Genomic DNA, 25,291 nt, shown 5'->3' on the forward strand with positions numbered 1-25,291 from the left:
AAGCCAAGGATTGGGTGCTTTCATCTCACTTTCCCTAAGACCTTACTGTCCATCTGACTTTTCATCTCTAAAGTTAGTTCATTATCCTGGACAATCAGTATAATATCAGTGTAATCTTGAAACACCTCCCCTGTATGGGCAGTCTTTCTAAAGGCTTCCAAAGTAATGTAAAATAAGCAATTGCTTTGACATCCATTGCCCTTTTTGTAAAAATAAATATTAAGAAAATGCAAAGAAAAAGAACAGACATAAAAATGTTGGTGTTGGCAATAGCAAAGATGTGGAACTAATCCAGATTTCCATCAATGATGGATTAGATAAATAAAACGTGGTACTTTTATACACCATGGAATACAATGCAGCCACAAAAAAGGACAAAATCATGTCCTTTGTGGCAACATAGATGTTGCTATTATCCTAAGTGAATTAATGCAGAAATAGAAACTGAGTTACTGTATGTTCTCACTTATAAGTGGGAGGTAACATTGGGTACAAATGGGCACAAAGAAGGAAAGGATAAACACTGGAGATCCCCAAATGGGAGAGGGAAGGAAGGGGGGGAAAGGGTTGAAAAATTACCTCTGGGGTACCATGTTCATTATTTGGTTAACAGGATCATTAGACACCTAAACCTCGACATCACACAAGATACTCGTGTAATAAACTTGTACGTGTACCCCCCACCAAATCTAAAATTGTTTAATAAAATATTTTTTTTTAAAAAAAGGGTTAGGTATGATAGCTCATGCCTGCAATCCCAACACTTTGGGAGGCTGAAGGGGAAAATCACTTGAGCTCAGGAGTTTGAGAGCAGCCTGGGCAACATGGCAAGACATCATCTCTGCTAAAAAAAAAAGAAAAAAGAAAAAAGAAAAAAAAAGTAGCTGGTGTGGTGATATGCATCTATAATCCCAGCTACTTGGAAGGCTAAGGTGGGAGGATCACTTGAGCCCAGAAAGTGGACACTGCAGTGAGTCATGATCACACCACTGCACTGCAACCTGTGCAACAGAGCGAGACCCTATCTTAAAAAATAAAATAAAATACAATAAAAAATAAAATTTTGGTATTGAGGTTATAGGTGAGTTAAATGATTTTTTAATGTTTTTACATTCTTGGTAATGAAAATATTACTTATACGAGTTAACAAATATATTATTATAAAACATGATTTTCCAACCAGTGTAATCATACTTTGTTTTTATAGTTTCTTTGTTTTATTTCCAAAAGATATATTCCTTGAAATATGTTGGTGATTGTGCATATAAAAGAGTTCTTTTCTTCTATACCAATGGTTCTCAAAAATTTGGACTTCAAAATAGTTTAGAAAACTGACATAGAAGTATGAACCTTTGGCTTTGAAAATAAGGGTCATTAAAAAGAGCAACTAATCTTTGCTGTCAACATTTTTAAGAAAAAGAAAGGATGTTATAATGCTATACTGGTACAAGGAACTAGTCTTAGAATTTAAATAGGGTTCTTCACAAGAAAAGCCAACAGGTACATTTGCACACACATGTATATTTGTATATGTGCATACCATTTCAAATCCAGTAACATTTTATATGCTAACATTACATTGTACAAAATTATTTTGGAGACTCCTGTTTTGCAGTGGAATGTGAAGAGGAGCTGGAATACCCAAAATGTCCTAATGCTCTCTCTACATTACTGCCATTGTAAAATTGTCCAGTTTTAAGTAACCTTGTTGAGGAAAATGAAAACAATATTCTTAATACTATTTCACTCAGTTTGGAATGTTCCAGGTAATTTACCTGAAACTGAGAGAGACCAAAGAACAAAAACTGAGAGAGGCCAAAGAACAACTAAGTACTCTGCCAAAATTTTTCCCCTGCAGAGCCTGGCATTATGAAGTTGAGCTAACAAAGAAGGTTCAGCAGTTATGCGCTTTGATGACTCAACACAGAAAAGTCAGCAACTAATATGAACTCTTCCACAAGGTTGCTACAAGAACAGGCATTTGCAAAGCTTTCTTTTTTAATTGCCTTTTTATATTCTGACATTTTTCCCTCCATCGGAAATATCTTAGGCATTAAATCTCATGGCAAAACCACTTGAATACACATTTTGATCCTGTGATTTGAAGTATGGAGAGGAAAATCTTTGAACCTGAGAAAAATGTTCACATTTATAGGTGCCCTTTATGACTTAGCAAAATTACATTAATAACATCATCTGTTTCCAATGCCCTCACTTACTTTGTGGGCTTCATTTATCTCTTATGTAATTAGTATAACTACATCATTCTTCACGATTGTTTGGAGAGACATTACAATTGCAAGTTTTAATTTGTTTTACTCTGACAGCTACATTGTTGTAGGATTTCTGAAAAAAAAAGTGAGAACAATGGAATATACTTTTGGGGGACTATTTTTAAGTGGTCCAGTCTGTGCCTTTCTTGTTAATTTTAATTTGAAATTTCATAATTTGCTCTTTTAATGGTTCTATCTCTCAAAGAAAGAAAAGTTCCTGAGACTGAGAGTTAAGTATCTAATAAATATGAGACTGGCTATTGAGATCTAGTCTTTTAATCTGAGTGACTGATTGACTCTTTGGGCTTCAAACAATAAAGCGAGTTTACTATCATAAAACAAATCTGTAGCTTTAAAATGGGCTTCCTCTGTTTGACTGACAATACAATTCTGATGTGTACCAAATTTAAAAATAGTTGTATTTCTCATAATAACTAGTAGGTTGAATAGTGGGTTTGTGATGGAAAATATCCTGAGGCTTCTTTGGACTCAACTAGAAAGAATGTCAAGATTGATTTGTGATACCTGCAAGAGGCCGAAGAGCCAAGATTTGCAACATGAGGCCAGGGAGTTGCCATGCCTAATGCAAGATAACATTTTTCAATTGCATGCTGTAACTTAGCAGTTGGTTATATTGTTCTCATTGTGCTTTCTGTAAGTGCAGACTTTACATCTTGATTATATGGTTGCCCAGAACATCTGGTATATTGGGACCCAATCAATAATAACTGACTGATTGATTAAGGACTATGCACATTATCAAAGATTTTTAGCACCTAAAAGCTGAAGAGTCATGAAAAGCAACTATATACCTTCAAGAACATCCTCTCATAGCTTCTTCAAGATAATTTTATTGACTTTTTTTTTTTTTGAGACAGAGTCTCACTTTGTTACTCAGGCTGGAGTGCAGTGGTGCGATCTTGGCTCACTGCAACCTCCACCTCCCGGGTTCAAGCGATTCTCCCACCTCAGCCTCCTGAGTAGCTGGAACTACAGGTGTGTGCCACCACACCTGGCTATTTTTTGTATTTTTAGTAGAGACGGGTGTCACCGTGTTAGCCAGGCTGGTCTCGAACTCTTGACCTCAAGTGATCCATCCACCTTGGCCTCCCAAAGTGCTGGGATTATAGGTGCGAGCCACTTGCCTGGCCCTGGTTTGATTTTTAATAAATCCATTCCATGTTCACATTGTGAAAACAGTTTAACTTCTTCATTCTCAGTGGTTGTTTTTCCTTTTGCTCAAGGTTAACAGGTATGAGTTCCAACAACTTCTGCTTTATGTTCTCTTTCTATACGTGTTCTCTGCTCCCTGTGTCTCTGGGGAGAAAGAAATTTTTCTCTTCCTCTCTAAGTTAGCCACTTCTCTGCTGTTATCTTCTTTTGGTTGGGATCTTGCCATCTCACTTGTTCCCAAGATTCCCAGTAACAGCAGTGTCTCCCTCTTGTCTGGAGGAAGGACTGGCAGATCCCTATGGATTTATATGGGTAAACTCCACTTCCCTTCACTCTGTGTCTCTCCTCCAGCCACTGTCCCATTCCTCCCCTTCACAGATGCATCCCTAGTCTCTAGGCCCCCTTCTCTCAAGAGAACTTTCCATGATGAAGGAAATATTCTCTGTCTGTACTAGTAAAAGCACAAGTCTGTCCAAGTAGCCACCAAGTATTTGAGGTTATTGAGCACTTGAAATGCGACTAGTGGCACTTGAAGAAGAGAAATTTTAATTCTTTGTCTTTAATTTAAATTGGAAATAGTCACACTTGGCAAGTGCCTACCATAATGGACAATAAACATTCCCCTTCAGATTTCTTCAACTGAACCACAGAAAGTTATTTAAGTGTATCTCCCCAACTCTCCAAAGGATAGTGCATAACTGGTACCATTCCAACATGTATAGAGGAGAAGTTAGCTCATTACCTACAGTGGATACCTGAGGGCATTAGGACTTTATTCTCTTTATTTCAGTAATGGAGTTTGTCCTCTCATACTCATTGAAAGAGGAAGTCCAAATATCTATCATTTGCAAAGACCATCAGTGATCTTTGTAAGTTTCTCTTTCTTAATTTCTAACTGTCTTATTCTTCTTTACTTATTAGAGACAGGGTCTCACTCTGTTGTCCAGGCTGGAGTGCAGTGGTATCGTTATAGCTCACTGCAGCGTCCAAATCCTGGGCTCAAATGATCCTCCTGCATCAGCCTCCCAAGTAGCTGGTGCTACAGGCACATGCCATCATGCTTGCACTGGCTAATGGTTTTTGTTTTGTTTTGTATTGTTTTTTGTAGAGATGGGGTTCTCACTAATTTGACCAGGTTGGTCTCCAACTCCTGGCCTCAAGTGATCCTTCTACCTCGGCCTCCCAAAGTACTGGGATTACAGGCATTAGCCATTACACCTGGCCCTAACTCTCTTTTTTAATCAAATTGATTACTGTCCTCCAAATGTTACTTTTACTTTTCTACTTTTCAGCCTTGTATTATACGATCTCCTCAGCTTCTTACAACTTTCTTCTTCCCTACACTTACCAAATCACTTACATTTCTTCAAGGCTCATTGTCTAGCTCTTCTGACAAGCTTCCACAGACCGTATAAGTCTAAGAAAATTGCAGTCCTTAGTCTATATATATTAAAAAAAATCTTATTGAACACTTACTATATTCCAGACAAGTATGAAAGATGGATAGAGTGGTTAATAGTAATGATAATAATAGATTAACATGGCCAGGCACAGTGGCTCATGCGTGTAATCCCTGTACTTTGGGAGGCTGAGACAGGGGGATCACTTGAGGCCAGGAGTTGGAGACCAGCCTGGCCAACATGGCAAAACCCAGTCTCTACTAAAAATACAAAACAATTACCCAGTGTGATGGCGCATGCTTGTAATTCCACCTATTCTGAAGGCTGAGGTACAATTGCTTGAACCTGGGAGGTGGAGGTTGCAGTGAGTCAAGATCGTGCCACCACACTCCAGCCTGGGTGACAGAGAGAGACTCTGTCTCCAAAATAATAATAATAGATTAATATTTGTTGAAGACTTCTTATATGTCACATACTCTTCCAAGCTCTATGTGTGCATTATTTCATTTACTTCTCATGATTACCCAGTGAGATAGATATTACTGTTATATCACTTTTACAAACAGGGAAACTGAGGCATTTAAAAATAATAACATGCCCAGGTCTCCTGATCAGTAAGTGACAGAAAGGTACTGCTTGTACACAGTTATATCCCAGCACCTACCAAGTCTTCTTAATGCTCAACAGAACTAAAGAACTCCTATTTTTAAATGTCTTCTACTTTTATTTTGATGTTAACATTTGTATTGTGATTACCCTTTTGTTACTAAATGTCACATACATAGGCTGCTCCTCTCAATAACATTATAAACTTCTAAGGTAGAGACCAAGCTGTCTGCTCCTTTGTAGTCTTAGCAAGCACTTAACAACATATTTTAGGTAGTATCTTTCAAATTATGGATATGGCTGATTAATGAGTTTTAGGTTCTAAAGTCAGTTTACTGTGTTCACATCCAGTTTTTTAATGAAATAGAATGAAATAATAAACAGTGGCACACCTATGCAATGGAATATTTAGCAATAAAAAGAATGAGCTGTCATGTTGTGTAAAGACATGGAGGACCCTTAAATGGATATTACTAAGTAAAAGGAGCCAGGCTTAAAAGGTTATGTACTGGACAATTCTGACAATATGATATTCTGGAAAAGGCAAAACTGTGGGGACAGTAAAATGATGACTGGTTGCCAAGAGTTAGCGTAGAGGGAGGGATGAACAGGTTGGAGCATGCGGTATTTTTAAGGCGGTGAAACTATTTTGTATAATACTATAATGGTGGATACATCATTATAGATTTGTCAAAATCCACAGAATGTACAACACGGAGAGTGAACCCTAATTTAAACTATAGATTTTAGCTGGTAGTAATATATCAATATTGGTTCACTTGTTATAACAAATATGCTACATTAATGCAAGGTATTAATAACAAAGGAAACTGTGTGTGAGAAGGGGGAAAGGAAAGATAGTTTATAGGAACTCTCTGTAGTTTCTGTTCTACTTTTCTGCAAACCTAAAACTACCATAAATAATAAATAAATAATAAAGCCTATTAATTAAAAAAAACAGAATAGAATAGAATGTATCTAAGCACATCATGCATTGTGAGGATAAAAACTGTTTAAGGAAATATCTGTTTCAGTTTTAGATGTGTGTGTGTGTGTGTGTGTGTGTGTGTGTGTGTGTGTATCTTACTGTGGATAAGAGGTTAAAAAAAAGTTTGAAAGCTGTCGTTTTAGAGATTGTTGCAAATACACTTCTTATTTCTCAGCTGATTGAAAACACTGCATAGAGTTCTAGTAATGATTGTAAACCTGCCTCCCATAAGCAGGAAGAGTCCTAGTAGGTATGAAGTGTGATTGACATGTCTGATTTTGAAATGACTGTACATGATTGTAGTAGGAGACTTTATGAAAACCTTTAACCTTGGGAAATAAAATTAACCCAAACGATGTGGATGACAACATGCATTTTGTCAAGGCATTCATTTATCGGTATTTCTGATTTGGTATGGTAGCACCCTATTCAAATTTTGATAAAATATTGGGAGAAACTTAATTTTTCTGTTGAGAACAGCACAATTGAATTATAGCCGCAAAGCAATATCAAGCCTAATATGTAGGAAATTCTTAAAATAACCTGGCCCACCATTGTCCCCCAGCCTTACTCAGGACAGGTATCCAGAGAGTACAAGTATCTAGTAACTTGACAGACCCAAGTTAATAGTTTTCTGCAATGGATATTAATAAATATAGGAGTGTTTATTTGGTGATATTGTTTTTGTTTGTTTTTCGCTCCTCCTCCTCCTCCTCTACTTCTTCCTTCTCCTTTGTCCTCTTCTTCTTTCTTCCCTCCTCCTCCACTTCCTCTTCCTCCTCCTCTTCTTCTTCCTCTTCCTTCTCCTTCTCCTTTCTCCTCTTTCTCCTCTTCCTCCTCCTCTTCTTCTTCTTCTTCTTCTTCTTCTTCTTCTTCTTCTCCTCTTCTTCTTCCTTCTCCTTTCTCCTCTTCCTTCTCCTCTCTTCCTTCCTTCCTTGTCCTTCTCCTTCTTCTTTCTCTTCCTCTTCTTCTTTTCTTCTTCTTTTTCTTCTGTTTTTTAAATCTCTCACATGTATTGCTGTGTTTGGGAAGCAGAAGGTCTCAGTCAGTCGGGGCTGTCCCGGTGCCGGGCAGCTCTGATGTTAGGGCTGAGGAGGTGCCTCTGTTCTGCCCACTCTGCTGCCTGCTGCTCTCCACTCTCACCTGCTTTGCATGTCTCTGCCTGCACCCCCCTCCTTTTCCAGCAGATCACTAGCAGAGCTTTAGCTTTTACCTCAGCTAACTTAAGAGCTTTTGTCTTCTCAGGTAACTCAAAAGAGTTTACACCCTGGATTTTGTGAACAGTTTGTTAAATTCCTGAGTTTCTGCAATTCCCATTAAACACAGCCATATGTCTTTCGATTGTGCCACATCCCCTGGAGAGGGAAAGCTGAATGTTTCCTGTGACAACCAACGGAAGGAAATCTGGTCCCATGCCGGTGCCCTCAGAGTCGATGGGATGGAGTCCTAAGAGAAAGGAAGAATACACACTAGTAAATTAATTTGTAGTGTACTGCCCACTTATTTTTAGGCCTGTTTGTATTTTTAAAGCACAATAACTAAAACTGAAGCTTTATATATTAGGTTTCCAAATAAAATAAGTTAGGCTTAAATCTGAGACTGGAGTTGAACAGTGCCAATGTCCTCGTAAATTTTATACAATGGAAATCTAAATACATGCATTTTGCACTTCGTTAATTGTAGAATGCGCTTACCATTTTCACTATTCCTTTAGACACTTTAAAAATACATATTCCTGGGCCTTACCTCAGGCCTCCTGAATTAGAATCACTGGAGTGGTACCCAGAAAGCTGTCCCTTTAAAGAAATCTCAGGAAATTTCTGATGATTTCACATAGCTAGGGAACCAGTAGGATGAAATGTTGGTTGGTAAGTGATCCATTTAAATATCAAAACAATTTTCTAAAATATGTGTAACACTTAAAGAAAAAAATTAACATTTTTTTCTTCATCAGGAAACCAAGTTTCCCAAATGGGATACTCAAATTTATCCTCTGGGTCTTCCTTCTGGTTTTCGTGAAGAATTAAAAGCTACCAAAATTCTATTTTAGTCTTTGTTTTAAAAATATTTTTAGGACATCAGAAAGCAGTAGATGACTATTCATTCATCCAAGAATCCTCTTTGCCTACAAATATTTACATAGTCCTTTTGAGCATAAAGCGTTATCTTCACGTAAGTCATCCTGTTAAATCCAGCTCTATGAGTGCATGTGCATAGCTTGGGAAGGAAAATGGCTTTTATTCCATTTTTAATTTATCACCAATTCAATGATCCAACAGTGTCAAAGGCATTGTTAAAAGTCCTGCTTGTGTGTGGCATGGTTCTTTGTGCTCTTGAATGAAAGTGACAGGGCTTCCTACATACCTCTAAAATACTTTCCAAAACTTTTCATTTTTTTTATTCTGCAAGATGGAGAAAACGGTTGCCATTGCCCTTTTGGAAAAATGACCTGTATGGTTTGGAAACTTTATTGTTTTTTCTCTTACCCCTCATCTTGAGAATCTCTCCTGGTGAGCCCTAGGCCCCTTCCTTCCTCTTAGTCTCATACGAAGACTGTGAGTCCCCTGCGGCCATACCTGGGAGTTGTCCAGTCTCCCTCCCTGGGTAGCACCCTCTCTGGGACTCTAGCCCCTCTCCCTTCTTCTGTCCTCCCCTATGATCTCATGTTACCCTCTTTGAAGCCTTTCTCTTCCATGTTTCAATGTTGCACATCCGTAGTGGAGAAATCCAGTGCCTTCTAGGCAAGGCCCGTTCTCAGTGTGGGTCTTCCTGGCTTCTCAGTGTACTTCTTGTCTACTTTTCACCACGGTTCGGTCTACTCTTGATAGCGGCTTTGCCAAATCTCCCTCTCCCTTCCTGTCCCTTCAAACCAATGTTCTCCTAGAGAACCTGTCACCTGCTGTTCTGAGGAAACTAGAACCCACACATCTGCACCCCAGGCCCCTGCAGCAGATCTGTCTCTGTGTGCTCATTCTCCCATCACACCATCGGTCTCTGGAAAAAAATGGTCCCTTCCACGACTATATTCACTTTTCTCCATCCTCTCTCTCTTGTCCTTTTAGCCTGATTTCTTATGCTGGCATTTCCAACGTTAAAAGTTTGTTTTTCTCTGAAAAAAAAAAAAAAAAAAAGACTTTTTCTAGACCTTACCTCCCTGTCTTCTTTAACTCATTCAAAAAGACGTTGAGCGCCTGCTGTATGCCCAGTGCCGCTTCCTGTAATCAGCGGCCATTTTTCTGCTTTCCCTGAGCTGCTAGGCTCCTCAGCATCGTCTGCACTTCCACCTTGGTCCCTCTCATCTTGAATTTGTTGCCACTTTGCACCTATCCTCTAATTACCTTGAACCATTGGTCTTAAAGGTTATCAGTGAACCCTTCTCCTTTTTAATGGAAGCTATTTTTTTCCTGATTTTTCTAACTGAAAACATAGAATTTGAGGCAATTGTTACCTTTTGGTTTTTTTGGAATGTTTCTTTTTTATTATTATATTTTAAGTTCTGGCGTACACGTGCAGAACTTGCAGGTTTGTTACATAGGTATACACGTGCCATGGTGGTTTGCTGCACCCATCAACCCATCATCTACATTAGGTATTTCTCCTAATGCTGTCTCTCCACTAGCCCCTTGCCCCCCGACTGGCCCCAGTGTGTGATGTTCCCCTCCCTGTGTCCACGTGTTCTCATTGTTGAACTCCTACTTATGAGTGGGAACTTGCGGTGTTTCGTTTTCTGTTCTGTTAGTTTGCTGAGAATTATGGTTTCCAGCTTCATCCATGTCCCTGCAAAGGATATGAATTCATCCTTTTTTATGGTTGCATAGTATTACACGGTGTATATGTGCCACATTTTCTTTATCCAATCTATCAATGATGGGAATTTGGGTTGGTTCCAAGTCTTTGCTATTGTAAATAGTGCTGCAATAAACATACATGTGCATGTGTCTTTATAGTAGAATGATTTATAATCCTTTGGGTATATAACCCAGCAATGGGATTGCTGGGTCAAATGGTAAGCCTGGTTCTAGATCCTTGAGGAATCACCACACTGTCTTCCACAATGGTTGAACTAATTTACACTCCCACTAACAGTGTAAAAGCATTCCTATTTCTCCACATCCTCTCCAGCGTCTGTTGTTGCCTGACTTTTTTTTTTTTTGGCGGGGGGGATGGAGTCTCGCTCTGTCACCCAGGCTGGAGTGCAGTGGCTTGATCTTGGCTCACTGTAACCTCCATCTCCCAGGTTCAAGCTATTCTCCTGACTCAGCCTCCTGAATAGCTGGGACTACGGGTGCCTGCCACCACACCCAGCAATTTTTTTTTTTAGTAGGGCTGGGGTTTCACCATGTTGGCCAGGCTAGTCTCGAACTTCTGACCTCAGGTGATCTGCCCACCTTGGCCTCCCAAAGTGCTCGGATTACAGGCGTGAGTCACCGAGCCCGGCCTGTTACTTATTTCTGGACAGTGCCATCAATAATATCTCACAATTATGTGTTCTTCCACTTTCTCCTGTTATTTCCTGGGTTTGTGGCTGGATTTTTCTTTTCCACCACCTGCCTCCTGAAATAGATAACATTTCCTGAGTCTGAGCTCTCTGCCCCTCCCATTAGACACTCTCTCTCTCTTTTACAATATCAACTTTTATTTTAGATTCGGGGGTACATATCAGGTTTGTTACCTGGTTATACTGTGGGAGGCTGAGGTTTGGGGTATGACTGATCCCGTTACCCAGGAAGTGAGCATAGTGTCCAACAATTAGTTTCTCAACATTTCCCCCTCCTCCCAGCTCTAGTAGGCCCAGTGTTTACTGTTGTCATCTTTATGTCCATGAGTACACAATGTTTAGCTCCCACTTACAGGGAGAACATGCAGTATTTGGGTTTCTGTTCTTTTGTTAATTCACTTAGAATAATGGCCTCCAGCTGCATCCATGTTGCAGCAAACGACACGATTTGTTCTTTTTTATGGCTGCGTGACACTCTTTTCTTCTTAATCTGCATCTCTTCTCAAATCACTCTGTTAGCTGTTGTGCAGGTAGATCATCTTTATATTTTCATTTTTAATGATCTCTCCATGGCTTAATTTCTTTGTATCACGAATTGCTTATATTGGCAGCTGAGCAAGCCACCTTCACAGCTTATTCAGCATCTCTACAACACAGATTTATTTACTACAGTCTTTCCTAAAATCCATACACACATACACCCAGCACAGACACATTCCTTTTTCTTTTAATCTCCAAGGCATTACTGTTCCCTTGCCTTATAAAAATAAGTTCTCTTCTCTGTCCAGTCAGGTGAGACGTCTGGTCCAATGTCCCGCATATCCCATGCAGACCTCAGCATCCAAGTCCACTGTCATGTGCGGAGACTCATGCAGACATCTCATATGCACCATTACAAGGCCTTTTCTCCCCTACATCCTATCAGGACGGCTTTTCATGATCACCCTGCCTCAACACTCTCAGCTGTGGACTGAGGGTCACCACTTTTGGGCAGATGTTAATTGTGTGTCCAAGATAGGAAAATTTAGACTCCACGAAGAAACTGAAGCTCAAGGGGGAGAATTAAGTTCTCAGAGAAGCACCTCTTCATCCTTTCCCTTGTCACGTGCTACCTCCTGTAAGTGCACATGCCCTGGTCAAGCTGTCTAAATATGTTCTGTGCTACAGGCTTTCGGATGTTTTTCTGTGTGTACAAACCCCCTTATCTTGAAAGTTTTCCTGTCAAAACTCTACCCAGCTCTTCAGAATCCAACACAAATCACCTTTCTCTGTCATGTCTTTTATTGTCTTCCCATACCTGATAGGAACAGAATCATCCATCTGTGCTCTTGTACATTTGTAACTCTAGTACAAACCCATTTTTCTCCTACAACTTAAAAGCAATATGTAATAAGTGTTTTGTTTTACATTGCTTTTTGGAATTGGTGCAGACTCCATGCTACCTAATTTTATTAAGAATTCACTACTACTTAAAAGTGTTCTCTTTTTTTTATCACTTAAGGTCAAATACACTTTTTCTTTTCTTTTTTTTCCCCTTTCTTTTTTTTTTTTTTTTTTTTTTTTTTTGAGACAGAGTCTTGCTCTGTTGCCCAGGCTGGAGTGCAGTGGCGTGATCTTGGCTGACTGCAACCTCTGCCTCCGAGGCCCAAGCAATTCTCATGCCTCAGCCTCCTGAGTAGCTGGGATTACAGGCTTGAACTACCACCTGTAATATTTTTAGTAGAGATGGGTTTTCACCATGTTAGCCAGCTTGGTCTCGAATTCCTGACCTGAAGTGATCTGCCCACCTCAGCATCCCAAAGTGCTGGGATTACAGGTGTGAGCCACCGTGTCTGGCCCAAATACACTTTTAAAATGTGATGTGTCCCCCACTTCTCGAACCTCTTTTCCTTTAATGTTTAGTCTGAGCATTGCTTCCAGATACCTTTTACATAAAGACCATCTCTATCACTTCAGTCTTCCACTCAAAGCATTTTAATAACTCTGCATTGCTCTTGGGATAAAGTACAGGAAGATATAGTTAAAATGTAAAAGAATTGTGTCTAAAGGAAAATTAGAATTCTACAGTAATAGAATTTTGTATTGCCTCTGTACAGCTTAGGCTCAAACATTCTGATGCTTTACCATTCTAGGTTAACATTAAAAATAACTCTCAACTCATCCATACTGTGTTGGCTTCTGTAGAGCAGAATTCTAATTTATCACATCAGAGTGTGACTGCAGAAGCTTATGTTTGTTGGTGATTAGGATGTGTTTTCTTGTCCAGTCTTGCTCATTAGAAAGACAGTTTGGGGTCTTATTCAGAGAACAAACCAGTAGTTCTAGAGATAATAGGATTAGGAGAAATGCCATATTCCACTTTACACCGCACTAAGAAACTGAAAGGGACATTAATTTCTTTAAAGGGCATCCCTGCCTGCATAGTTGAACACTATCTTCTTTCTGCGTCCTTAATCAATTTCTTTTCTGAGCGACTTCATCCTGAGCTTCCATCTCCCCGAAAATTCCCTGAGGCACTGTCAGCATGGTGTGGAGCCTGTTGATCCTTGGTGCCGGGGCTGGAATAGGCTGTGCACTCCTGGACACAAACCCTACTCACATGACTCTTAGCTTGGAGCCAGCGTTCCCCGAAGTTAGGCGAGATTTCTAATGCCTTAAAAGGGAAAGGTAGGGTAAAAATAATTAAGTCCAATATTCTTTCCCTTTTAAACTTTTTATACGCTCCTTTCTTTGTCTTTGTTATGTGAATTTGACTTCTTTGTTCTGTTTCAGACAACTTGTAAGGACAAGTTGTTATTCACCCAGTTAACAAAGTGGCATTTCTCTACACGTTGTTGTTTTATTTTTTCCTTAAAAAGGGATTTATTTCTGCAGGCCTGGCATTACTGTTTTGTTTTCTTAATACTTTGCTCGATGAAATGGTTAAGAGCACTAAATATCATTATTGTTTAATATAAAGAACCAGACTCAGATTTAACTAATTTTCCTCAAATTTTTCAGGTCTTGACCTACACGTGTCACCCAAGTTGATTCTAAGCTGAAAGGGACTGTTGACTAAAAGATAAAAGGGGAAAAAAATTCTAGAATGACAGAAAAGTTAGAAAGACCCAGAAAGACTTTATACATGACCAGGGGATAATAACGTGGAAGGGGTTATACCAGACACCTCATTCTAATATACTAATTATAATATTGTCATTTAAAATGCAATCCACTGTATTAAAAAAGGTTTTGAATAGAAAGTTACAAGCATATTCAAAAGCAGAGAGAATACTATAATCAACCCACTATACCCATCTTGCAGCTTCAATAATTAGCAATATATGGCCATGGCCAACTCGTTTCTTTTACATGGCCCTCCTTTCCCACAAATGCTGGATTATTTTAGAAACAAACACAAGACAAAAATATCTCTGCATGTACTAAATTAATATTCAATATTAAAGATGACTCTTGAAATACGAGATTTTAAGAGATCAGTCTGATATTATAAAATAATAAGAAGCCAGTTAAGGTTTTGTTTTAATCAACTATATTAAGGCATAATACATGTGCAATAACAAGCGCTCATCTTTAGTGTATATTTGGATGAGATTAGAGAAGTTTATCTACCATGTTGCTACCACTAAATCAAGCCCTAACATATTTTCACCATCACGCCAAGTTCTCTTATACCTCTTCCTAGTTGCTGTAAACACATGCCACCCCCACCCCAAGCCCCAGGAAAAATGCTTTTCTGCTTTCTGGCCCATAGTCTCTATTTCTTTTTTCTAGAGCTTTATAAAAATAAAATCATAGGTAAAATATTTCTGTGTCTGACTTCTTTTGCACAGTGTGTTTTTGAAATTTACATATATTGTGAACATCAGTAGTTCATCACTTTGTATTGCATCTTTAAGATTCCATTGCATGACAGTATCACATTTTGCTTCTCCAGCCCATCTGATGGATAATTGTTTTTTGGTTTTTGTTTTTATGGAGATAGAGTCTCACTCTGTCGCCCAGGCTGGAGTGCAGTGACATAATCTCGGCTCACTGCAACCTCTGCCTCCCAGATTCAAGAGCCTCCCAGATTCAAGAGATTCTCCTGCCTCAGCTTCCCAAGCAGCTGGGATTACAGGCGTGCTCCACCACACCCAGCTAATTTTTGTATTTTTAGTAGAGATGAGGTTTCACCATGTTGATCAGGCTGGTCTCGAACTCCCAACCTCAGGTGATCTACCCCCCCCACCTCAGTTTCCCAAAGTGGGATAATTGAGTTTTTTCTTTCCCAGTTTGGGGTGACTGTGGATAGTTTCTGTGAACTTCATATGCAAGTTTCTGAGTAGACTTGTATTTTTCACTTCTCTTTGGTGAATAAGTAGGAGTATAATTGCTCAGCAGTATATATTAAATATGTGTTTAGCTACATAATAAATTTTCCATTGTGTGTTTTCTAAAGTAGTTGTACCACATTACATTCCCATCAGCAGTGTATGAGAGTTATAGTTGCTTCCCGTCTCTGCCAACATAGATGTATTATGTTGTTCTAATTTTGCCATTCTTACGGTATGGGATAGTATCTTATTGTGGCTTTCATCTGCATTTTCCTAATCACTAATTTTGTTTAGCATCTTTTTCATAGGATTACTAGACTCCTCAAATTCTAATCAACCATTTCTTCAACTCAGTGAGGCAACCAAACTCACTGTGGGTTCTCTTGTCTCTACCCATTTTCCAGAAATTTCTTCAAAATAAAAAGCCCAGGCTGGGCGCAGTGGCTCACCCTGTAATCCCAACACCTTGGGAGACCGTACAGAGAGGATCACTTGAGTCCAGAGTTTGAGACCAGCTTGGTCCACAGAGGAAGACCCCATCTCTACATTTTGTATTAATTAGCTGGACATGGTGGTGCACTCTATAGTCCCAGCTACTGGGGAGGCTGAGGTTGGAGGACCCCCTTCAGCCTAGGAGGTGAAGCCTGCAGCAAGCCAGGATCACTCCAGTGCACTCCAGCCTGGGTGACAGAGCAAGATCATGTCAAAAAGAAAAAAAAGGCCCAGATGCAGCTTTTCCTTCTCACATTTACCACAGTTATGCACTGCCTGTTGTCCCATTATTGAAAACAGTTATTTTATTTTACTTTTTTTTTTTTGAGGAGGTGAGGTGGGGTGTAGGTTACATTTCATCCTGTTACTCTGCCTTGGATATAATTGGAAATCCAGAGTAGTTTTTGAGAAATAATTTCTAAATTCTTTTTTTAGTTTATCAAGGGCCAAGCCTGGAAAACTCAAGTCAGAATGTATGGAAGAGAATTCTTCAACTGATTACATCTAGCCTCAGTCTCTGGTGGTAGGAGAATATGTCACCAAGAAAGAAAAGGAAAATCATGCTTCCTTGCTGAATTTGGTGAATTCTGCAAAACAAGAATGACAGTGAAAGGGAGGAGACAAAGCAGTCTGAATCATGCCTCCCAGCTTTTCCACCTGGAATTTTATCCCAGAGAATGAAAGGCATGTTGGTAAAGATGAGTTATGCACAAGACAGGGATCCATTTCACATGTAGCCCTCTATTGATGTTTTAGTGAACTTGGAAGTTCAGCCTGTCAGTCAGAGGAAAGCCTTACAAGTTACTTTCCAGTGTGACGTAGGTGGGACCCCAAGATAGCTAGAGGACTTGGCAATGAGGACGGGATGCCATCATATGGATGAAGGCGGCTCTGTCCTGGGGGCTGCAGCACTCTAGGGCTCTGTGAGCAGACCTCAGAAAAGGCTTCCTTTTGTCAGCAGGAGACAAGACCTCAGAAAAGGCTTCAGAAAAGGCCTCCTTGTCAGCAGGAGACAAGATGAGACCAAGAACAGAGATGTCGACCCAAGCTTACTAGGTCAAGAAAATGCAAATGGCATGCATGCAAGTGATAAACCTCACTGTCAATGTCAGCAGGGCTAGGAGCACCCAGATGGATAAGGAGCCACATGCCATAGATCAGAGAAGATAATCAAATTCTGGAGACACAGACTCTTTCTTCTGTTCCTGAGTTCATTTAAACCATGTCTCTTTCTTCCCACTACACACACACACACACACACACACACACACAGAAAGGGGTAGGGGAGAAAGAATGGGAAAGGAAGGTTAAGAGGCTAACTTATCCAAAGGAGATCAAACGGTGCCTGAATTACATTTAACTTTGTGTTTCTTTTTAATACATGCAAGTATAAGCATAATGCAGGGGGAGGGGCAAGGGTTTGTGAATTTCAAATGGTTTGTAAGATTTATAAACTTAGGGAGTGCCTGTGTTTTCTAAGAACTGTTAACCCAGGAGGTGGGTAGTGCAGTTTCCCCACCTTCCTATCATGTCTAAAAGACACGAGATTTTTTGAAGCACCAGATGTTAGAATGTACTGCCTAAAACTATCAGTGAGCCCAAGACTAGAGAGATGTGATTAGGGCACCATGTGAGACTCATGATGAACATCTTCTGGTTTACCATTCTTCCTACATGAGACAGAAGCAGCACCCCCAAATTAGCTTCGGTTTCTTCAAATGCACGTTCTTCCTGCCCAGCAGAAGACAGAATGGCTTCCCGGAGCTGGAGAACGTGTCTGGGCCATGGCCTGATGCCTTCAAGCAGAGAATGAAGGAGTGGGAGAATTCTGCAGCTCAGTTCTTTTCTTTAGCTCCGTCCTTGTCCAGAGAATGGGGTAGGAATGGGATGGAGGGAAGGTGAGAAGGTGAAATGTGCAATGCAGAGTGGAAGATTGCTGATCACGCGTTTAAAGTCATATGCAATAGCAATTCTGTCAACAAATCTTCCTATTATTGTAATCTTTTTTCCCATTAACTCTTGTTATTATAAGAAATTGATTTTCATCATACTCTCTAAGTGTCTCTCCTTCACCCCTCCTCCAATATCAAATAGTTAATAAAGTAACAAAATAATATTGTATATGCTGGAAACTATTTAACCATGCAAACACATATATCAGCTATGTTTGCTTTTTATTTCTGTGTCTATATTTTCATTCAACGTATATTTTAATGGGTATAATTTAATAGTACATTATAAGAATGAGATTATGATTTTAATGTATTTATAATTACTCTGCCCTAGAACAACTAATTTCTTTTTTTTCTGAGCATCCTTTTAGTTTTCATTAACATATATATAGTATCTATTTATCATCAGAGCATATAATTTTATATTCTGCTTTTGTTATCATTTTCCTTGTTGCTACCTATTTATCACTTATGGCTACTTAATGCACCATGCAATTTCTATACCTACATTTTCTTAAATGCTTTCCTGTTCGATACACAAATAGTTTCTATTATTCACTATTATAAATACAGATCAGCAACCCTAATCTAAAACACTCCAAATCTAAAACACTCCAAAATCTAAAACACTCCAAAATCCAAAACTTTTTGAGCACCAACATGACACTCGAAGGAAATGCTACCTGGAGCATTTCACATTTTTGGATTTTTCGGTTAGGAATGCCCAACAAGTACAAATATTCCAAAATCTGAAAAAATCAGAAACCTGAAACACTTCTGATCCCAAGCATTTCAGATAAAGAACACTCAACCTGTAATGTTACGGTGATCATTTTCCTAGGAACGCCATTTTTTTGACTTTAAATTATTTCCGTGGAATAATTTGTGAGTGGGATTACTAGGTCCACAGATATGAATATATTTAAGGACTCTTAATATAGGTATGGGTCAGACTGGTGATTTGATGGGCTGTACATATTTATAGGACCACTAGAAAATATAAATTTATTAGTTCTTTTTGCAAATGTCATCTTCATTTTTTGTTCATTATACTTGCAGTTAATGTACATTGTACTTACCATTTGACCATTAGTGTGGCTTAATTAGCAAAATCACTGGCTGGGCGCGGTGGCTCATGCCTGTAATCTCAGCACTTTGGGAGGCCCAGGCGGGGGGATCACGAGGTCATGAGATCGAGACCATCCTGGCTAACACGGTGAAACCCCATCTCTACTGAAAATACAAAAAAATTAGCTGGGCTTGGTGGCGGGCGCCTGTAGTCCCAGCTACTCTGAAGGCTGAGGCAGGAGAATGGTGTGAACCTAGGAGGCAGAGCTTGCAGTGAGCCAAGATTGCGCCACTGCACTCCAGCCTGAGCGACAGACTGAGACTCCATCTCAAAAAAAAAAAAAAAAAAGAAAGAAAAATCACTTAAGTATCAGACAAGCAATTCAAATCCCAACTCAGGCCATTTCCTGTTGTATGCTAAGTGGATGAGCCTCTCACAAAAATAATTTTTTCAATGGTAAATTGGCAACAATGGTGTCTCCTTTACAAGACTGTTGAAACGATTTGGTGAATTAATCAATACCTGGTGTGTTCGTGGCCATACAGGAAATTATTACTCCTCCTCGCTGTCTCTGCTTCTCTAATTTTATCTACCTTCCCTCCCACTCCTGACTTCTTCTTGCATGGATTATCCATTCGAGTTCTTTTGATACAAGGTTTTCTAGACTCCATTTTCTCATGCCAGAATTTATGTTAATAGGGGTCAATTATCAATGTTCTCTAGAAACCTGATCTCTCAATAGCAAGTGCTTAATTAGATTGCAAATCACTGAGGTCACTTCTGTTCACCCTGTGAGTTTTCTTGTGTTCACCCAACCAAATGGGAAGTACATTCAGAATAAATACATTTTCATAAATTGCTCATTTTTGAATGCTTCGTACAGTCCAATTTCTCTTTTAAAAATCTTATCCAAGCTTGTGCCCATTAGGTTTCTCAGAGACTTTTTGACTTGTTTTTCTGCTTCTTTGTCTTGGTTTCAGATAATACTTCAGTTTAATCTTCTATTTGTTGCATCCTACCCAAGAACAACAAGCTTAATTCTTGTGATAACAAGTGTAGTTTGTCAAGAATTGCAAGACAAGACCATTGCTAGAAGTTACATTTTGGAATGGTACTGCCATTTGGATTTTGTCTGTCTCATACCCAGTGTCTGTTTTCTAGGCATTATTGCTCATTGTTGTCTGGAAATTGGTTTTTATCTTGAGGGAATTTGTAGCAGAAACTGTCTTTGAAAGCAATCACTCTTCTTTAAAGCCAAAAGTAATTTCTAATATGTTATAAGGTATCAGAAAGCCTGTAACAAGCATACAGTTTTTCAATTGGAAAAGCATTAAAAATATCAAATTCTATCCTCTTTCATGAGGGTGAGGCAGTTTGGGGGCTGCCAAAAGATTTTCTAGTCTCTCACCTTCATGATAAGATATTGAGCTGTGTAGGAAATATTCTAAGCAGTTCCACTTTAGGAGTTTAAAAGAAAACATGGGAGGGAGGGAAAAGGAAGGTAAAAAATTCCTCTGCAATCTTCCCAGCTTCAGCAACTGTATTTCACAACTCTGGAGAATCCCAGAGGCTCCTTTAGATATTATTTTACATGAGCCTTCTCTCATTAAGTGTCAGAGAGAAGGTTTCTTCCTTTTTGCATTTTTAAGCCTGCTTTCCCCGCATATCCATGCCCACTATCCCTGTTTTCGCCTGTTACAAATGAGTGCTAGCTTCTTTTTCTACCTGAATAGACAAGACAGTTCTAACTTCTTGTCAGCATCAAAGACCCTTGCCCCAGACGCTGCACCAGCAAAGTTACTAAAGTACTAAGGATTTCAGAGGTGGACATCACAAGGCTTGAGAGAAGCTCATAGATAACAATTAAGTCTGCAGGGGAAATTTGAGGATCATACACAGCTGGATTCAGACAGAATGACCAGTTTTTCTGTAGTTGCTGGACAGTACAAAGTAGCCTGCCATGCCTGCCATGTGTATTACAGAGAAGTCTATTATTGAAACTCACAAGGTGAAAAAATGTGGACCTGATCATAGTTGAGTGTGTCTGCCCCATGCTTGCATTTATGATATTGGAAACAGGAAGGGTGAGATTGGAAACAGTCCATTTCTGCCCAGAGCCCACTCTGCAGCATGTAACAGCAAAGCATTCACTGTCAAGAAATAGTGTATATCATGGTCATACCACATTCATCATTGTGCCACACTTAACTTCTTCAAGAACCCTGGCATCACAGCTCTCCTTGTGTTGTAAGGGGGACTGGCCCCAGTTTTAGCCACTACTCCAAGGCTGCACAAATCACCCTGTGGTATTGGGCAAGCTCCTTAACCTCAGTTCCCCTAGCACATGGTAGGGGTGAACTTACACTGCCCAACCTGTAGGGAGATTGTGAAACCAGAATGAGATAATGTGTGCAAATGATTTCGGGACGAGTTTCAAATTCTGAAAATTCTTGGGGTGTATGCTTTCATTTGTACAGTTAATCTGATTTGCAGTCATTTAAATCTATAAAAGGATGTTCTGCCACATCGTGTGCATAAGTTTGATTTTCCTCCTGTTGTTCTGAGCCCCCACTGGGGCAGCTTTCAGAACATGCCATTCCCCTTCACAGCCTCCTGCATGGGAGCATGACGGCTAGATCTCTTTCTCCTCCCTCCCCATCCCATTTCCTTTTGTCTGCCCATCACTCTCCTACACTGCATACAAGACTCAGGTTAAAGACCCCCTGCTCTGTGATGTCACCCTCTTACCTAACTCTCTGCTCCTTGAACTGGCAATGATTTAGCTTTCCACATCCTGAATGGGGGTGATCTACATCTAACTTGGCCTCTTTCCCTCATTAGACTTGGCTTTTTGAGAACAAGACCAAGCCTCTACTTAATATTTTAACCCAATACCTGCTTCATATTATTTGCTTAGTAAATATTGATCAAAATGATGAGTGAATGTCAAATACTTGTTGCCATGAAATAAGTTGAATCGGTAAAGTGGGTGATTCTTAAATTATTTGCCATAAAACATTAGGGGGAACTCATACCTAGTTGCGTCTTTTTTTGTGCTGCTATAACAAAATACCACAGACTGGGTAATTCACAATCAACAGACATTTATTGCCTTGCAATTTTGGGGGCTGGGAAGTCTAAGATCAAGGCACCGGTATCTGGCCTTCTTGCTGAGTCACCACAAAGCAGAATGCTGTGTCTTCACATGGCAGAAGGCAGAAAAGCAAAAGAGGAAAAGAGGGAGAAGGGAGACACAGTCAACGTTTTGTACAGCATTCTCCCACCCATGAGGTCACAGCCCTCATAGCTTAATCACCTCTTAAAGGTCCCACCTCTTACTACTGTGACACTGGCAATTACATTTCAGTATGAGTTTTGAAAAGGACAGTCATTCTATACAAAACCATAGCAGCTTTATATCAACCTAATAATATAAATGTCTGTATGTTATGTGTACATATTTTTGGGGGAAGCTTATAAAATACTGCCAATTATTGGAAGTTTCTGAGGGCAGGTGACCATATGACAGAAACCATAAGCTGAGGCATTTGTGTTGAACAGGAGGTTACAGCATCTCATTGTTTCCCCAGTAACTGCTGTGGATCGCGCCCTCAGCGGGATACTAACAGGTGTCATAGAATAAAATAATTTCTTGATGAAGTATATTTGGAAATGCTGGGATAAATCTCCATTTTTGAAATCTATCATGTAATTAATATTCCATCTCACAATTCAGTGATCTGAGTGTACTACTTGTTGTTCTTTTATCTTATTTTAAACTTACCCCTTCCCTGTTTCATTTTTAGGTTTTGCTGTGGCGTGGCACCTGGTCTCTTTCTAGAAGGAAAGTTCAACATACAGCACAATTCTGGACACATTGTATTGGTTTGATGCTCCTACCTGGAACAGGTATGTAAATCTCCAGTACATGATTACTGACATTTTTGAATCATAACTATGGATGTATATTCATTCCTGTGGATTGCTAAGAATGGAATCTGCTCTGAACAATTAAATTCATGTGTCAGCGATGACTGTCTTTTCTACTTAGAAGCATGTGTTTATATTTTGGCATCCACAACTCCTGAAGACTACTTCATTATCTTGGTTATATGATAAGCTCAAATTAAGAATATAGCCATTCAAAGAGAGAGGAGAAAGTATACACTTATATGGTTCTGAAAATAATAAGAATTATCCAGAAATCTATGGAAATCAAATGATGAAATATGACTGATACTCTGGTATGTTATAAGTGTAGTATCTGTAGTCCAAAATTCTTACAGAAAAACATCGACTTCTTTCCCCTCCCCAAATTAGTCCAGGCTTAGAGAAAACTGTGTAACAACTCACAGGATAAAAATGACTACATATGTGAATTAATTAATAGAATTAGATCAATTAATTGACTACTCAAACACTAAGATTTTGTGACAGTTATTCCCTTCATGTATGCCAACATAAATATTACATAAAAACAAAAAATATGCTGTTTGATAATATTAATGTTTAATGAATTCTCTTGAAGGATATTCTGAAAGTAGATTCTCACTATATATAAATATGTCAGCCTGTAGCTTCTGTCTAATTCAGACTTACTTGGATGAGCACTGTTTGTGAGTATGTAACATAGATAGGTAGATAGATGGATAGATAGATAGATAGATAGATAGATAGATATAGACATAGGTATGTCACGACACCTATTACATAATATATGCATGTGTGTGTTTGTATATATAGTATGCAATGACTAAGGGATACTTTATTACAAGATTGATTGCTTACTTGTATGCAACTTTTTAAAATATTATTAAAAATATAGCAGGCTTGTTGAAATACTTATAAATATTTGGAAAAGTGCCCCATAAATTCTATTTTCAACAGGAAAACTACATAACAACTCACCTGCCTCTGCCTCCTCCCCTGCCCCCATCAGAAGTATGTTGAAAATGAAGTTTGGGAAATTGGGAAGTAGCACAGAGGATAATTAATCAGGTGTGAGCTCAAGACCTAACTCTACTACTTAACAATGGCCTTGGGAAGGTTTCTGTACTTCCTTGGGAAGTGCGTTATTATTTAAATCTGAACAGGAGGGAGGGAGAGTGAGAGAGAGTAGATAAATTCACCTCTAATTGCAATGTCCCAAATGTACCAGGTCACGTTTATTCTTAGAGATGTATGAAGTAATTAACAGATGTGTTTCTAAGGTTTTCCAAAGAGTTCTACTTTTACATTCTGTGAGAGTCTGAAATCCATGATTAGAGATTAATGTCCCTGATTTAAGGCAGAAATTGCAACTGGTCATCTGCTTGTCAGATCCACCTTAGTTCGTTTATTTTATTATTTATTTTGGGCCTACACAAATTTGTATGCATGATAACTAAGAAATTGCCAAATCAAAAAATCAGGACAGTTCACATAAAAATCTGGATTCCCAGTCTTCTCTTTCTCTGTAAATGGTCAGAAATTCTTCCTCTTAATTTCTGCGTCTAACCCATCCAGTCCTTCACAGTCCGCTCTGAGCCCATAGGTCTCAACCTTCACTGTGAAGAGATACTGGTTCTCCGGCTTCACCGCAGAAGATTAAATCAACACCTCTCAGGGTGGACCGCGGGCTTCAGAATTTTTTAAAGTTCCTCAAATTATTCCATTGTGCAGCCACTGCCCTAATACCTTCCCTTCTCTTTGTGTAAAAACATCTCCCAAGTCCAAGTCACATACATCACTTCCTCATCTCACCACTCTTCTCTGATGTCCCTAAATCATCTTATTTCTATTCTTGTCCTGTTCAATCCGTGCTTCATCCAATAGCCAGAGTAATTGTCTTTATAGAAAATATCTGGTTGACTCCTGCTTCACCATCTTCAATAATAATAGTAATAATAATAATAATTTAGGGTGATCATTTATACTAGGTTGAATGAAGAATCTGACTTCAGTCTTTGTTGAAGGATTGAGTCATTGAAGCATTAAATTTTAGGAGCAAATGGAAGAAGACTACAAAAGCTGTAGCAGTACCTTCTGCTTGGTCTTCTCCTCCCAGAAGTGACCCATAGTGATCCTTAGGCCAAAAGTAATTCACAAGTATAGAAATGACAGACATTGTTTACCTATCCAACAGATTGCCACCCAATCAGGGTCCTGATTGCACCTTACATAGGATCAAAGGGATGTTGTAATTTGGTAGTGACACTACGATAAGATTAATTTTATGTCACAGCTACCAAAGTGTGTTAAATGTCTCTCCTTCCTAAGTTGTATGATTCAGCCAACAAAATTTGATATGGGTGAATTTTTAGGCAGAATAACAGAATTTGGTGTGTGCATGTGTGTGTGTGTGTGTGTGGTTGGAGTGCTTGTGGCTGAGGTCTTTTCTCCTTCTGCTCAGACATGTAGATGACCTTCCTTCCCACTAATGAATAACATTTTATTTGAACTGCGGAGGAGACTTTTTTTTTTCTCCTAAGTGACCTTATAAACCATTTGTATTAGTTTGTTTTCATGCTACTGATTAAGACGTA

At 39.1% G+C, this 25,291-nt stretch overlaps 1 protein-coding gene across 32 annotated transcripts in view; it reads left to right on the forward strand.

Moving 5' to 3' along the window:
• Positions 1-25,291, forward strand: part of CHRM3 (cholinergic receptor muscarinic 3) — a 528,883-nt gene that overhangs the window by 269,045 nt on the left and 234,547 nt on the right. For all 32 annotated transcript variants that reach the window (NR_164748.1, XM_047443115.1, NM_001375982.1 and 29 more), the window contains one exon: positions 22,574-22,676. The gene's annotated coding sequence lies outside the window, so the exon portion shown is untranslated. The remainder of the gene's footprint in view (positions 1-22,573; positions 22,677-25,291) is intronic.

The sequence above is a fragment of the Homo sapiens genome, chromosome 1 (assembly GCF_000001405.40).
Source record: "Homo sapiens chromosome 1, GRCh38.p14 Primary Assembly".
In the NCBI taxonomy this organism is placed as follows: domain Eukaryota; kingdom Metazoa; phylum Chordata; class Mammalia; order Primates; family Hominidae; genus Homo; species Homo sapiens.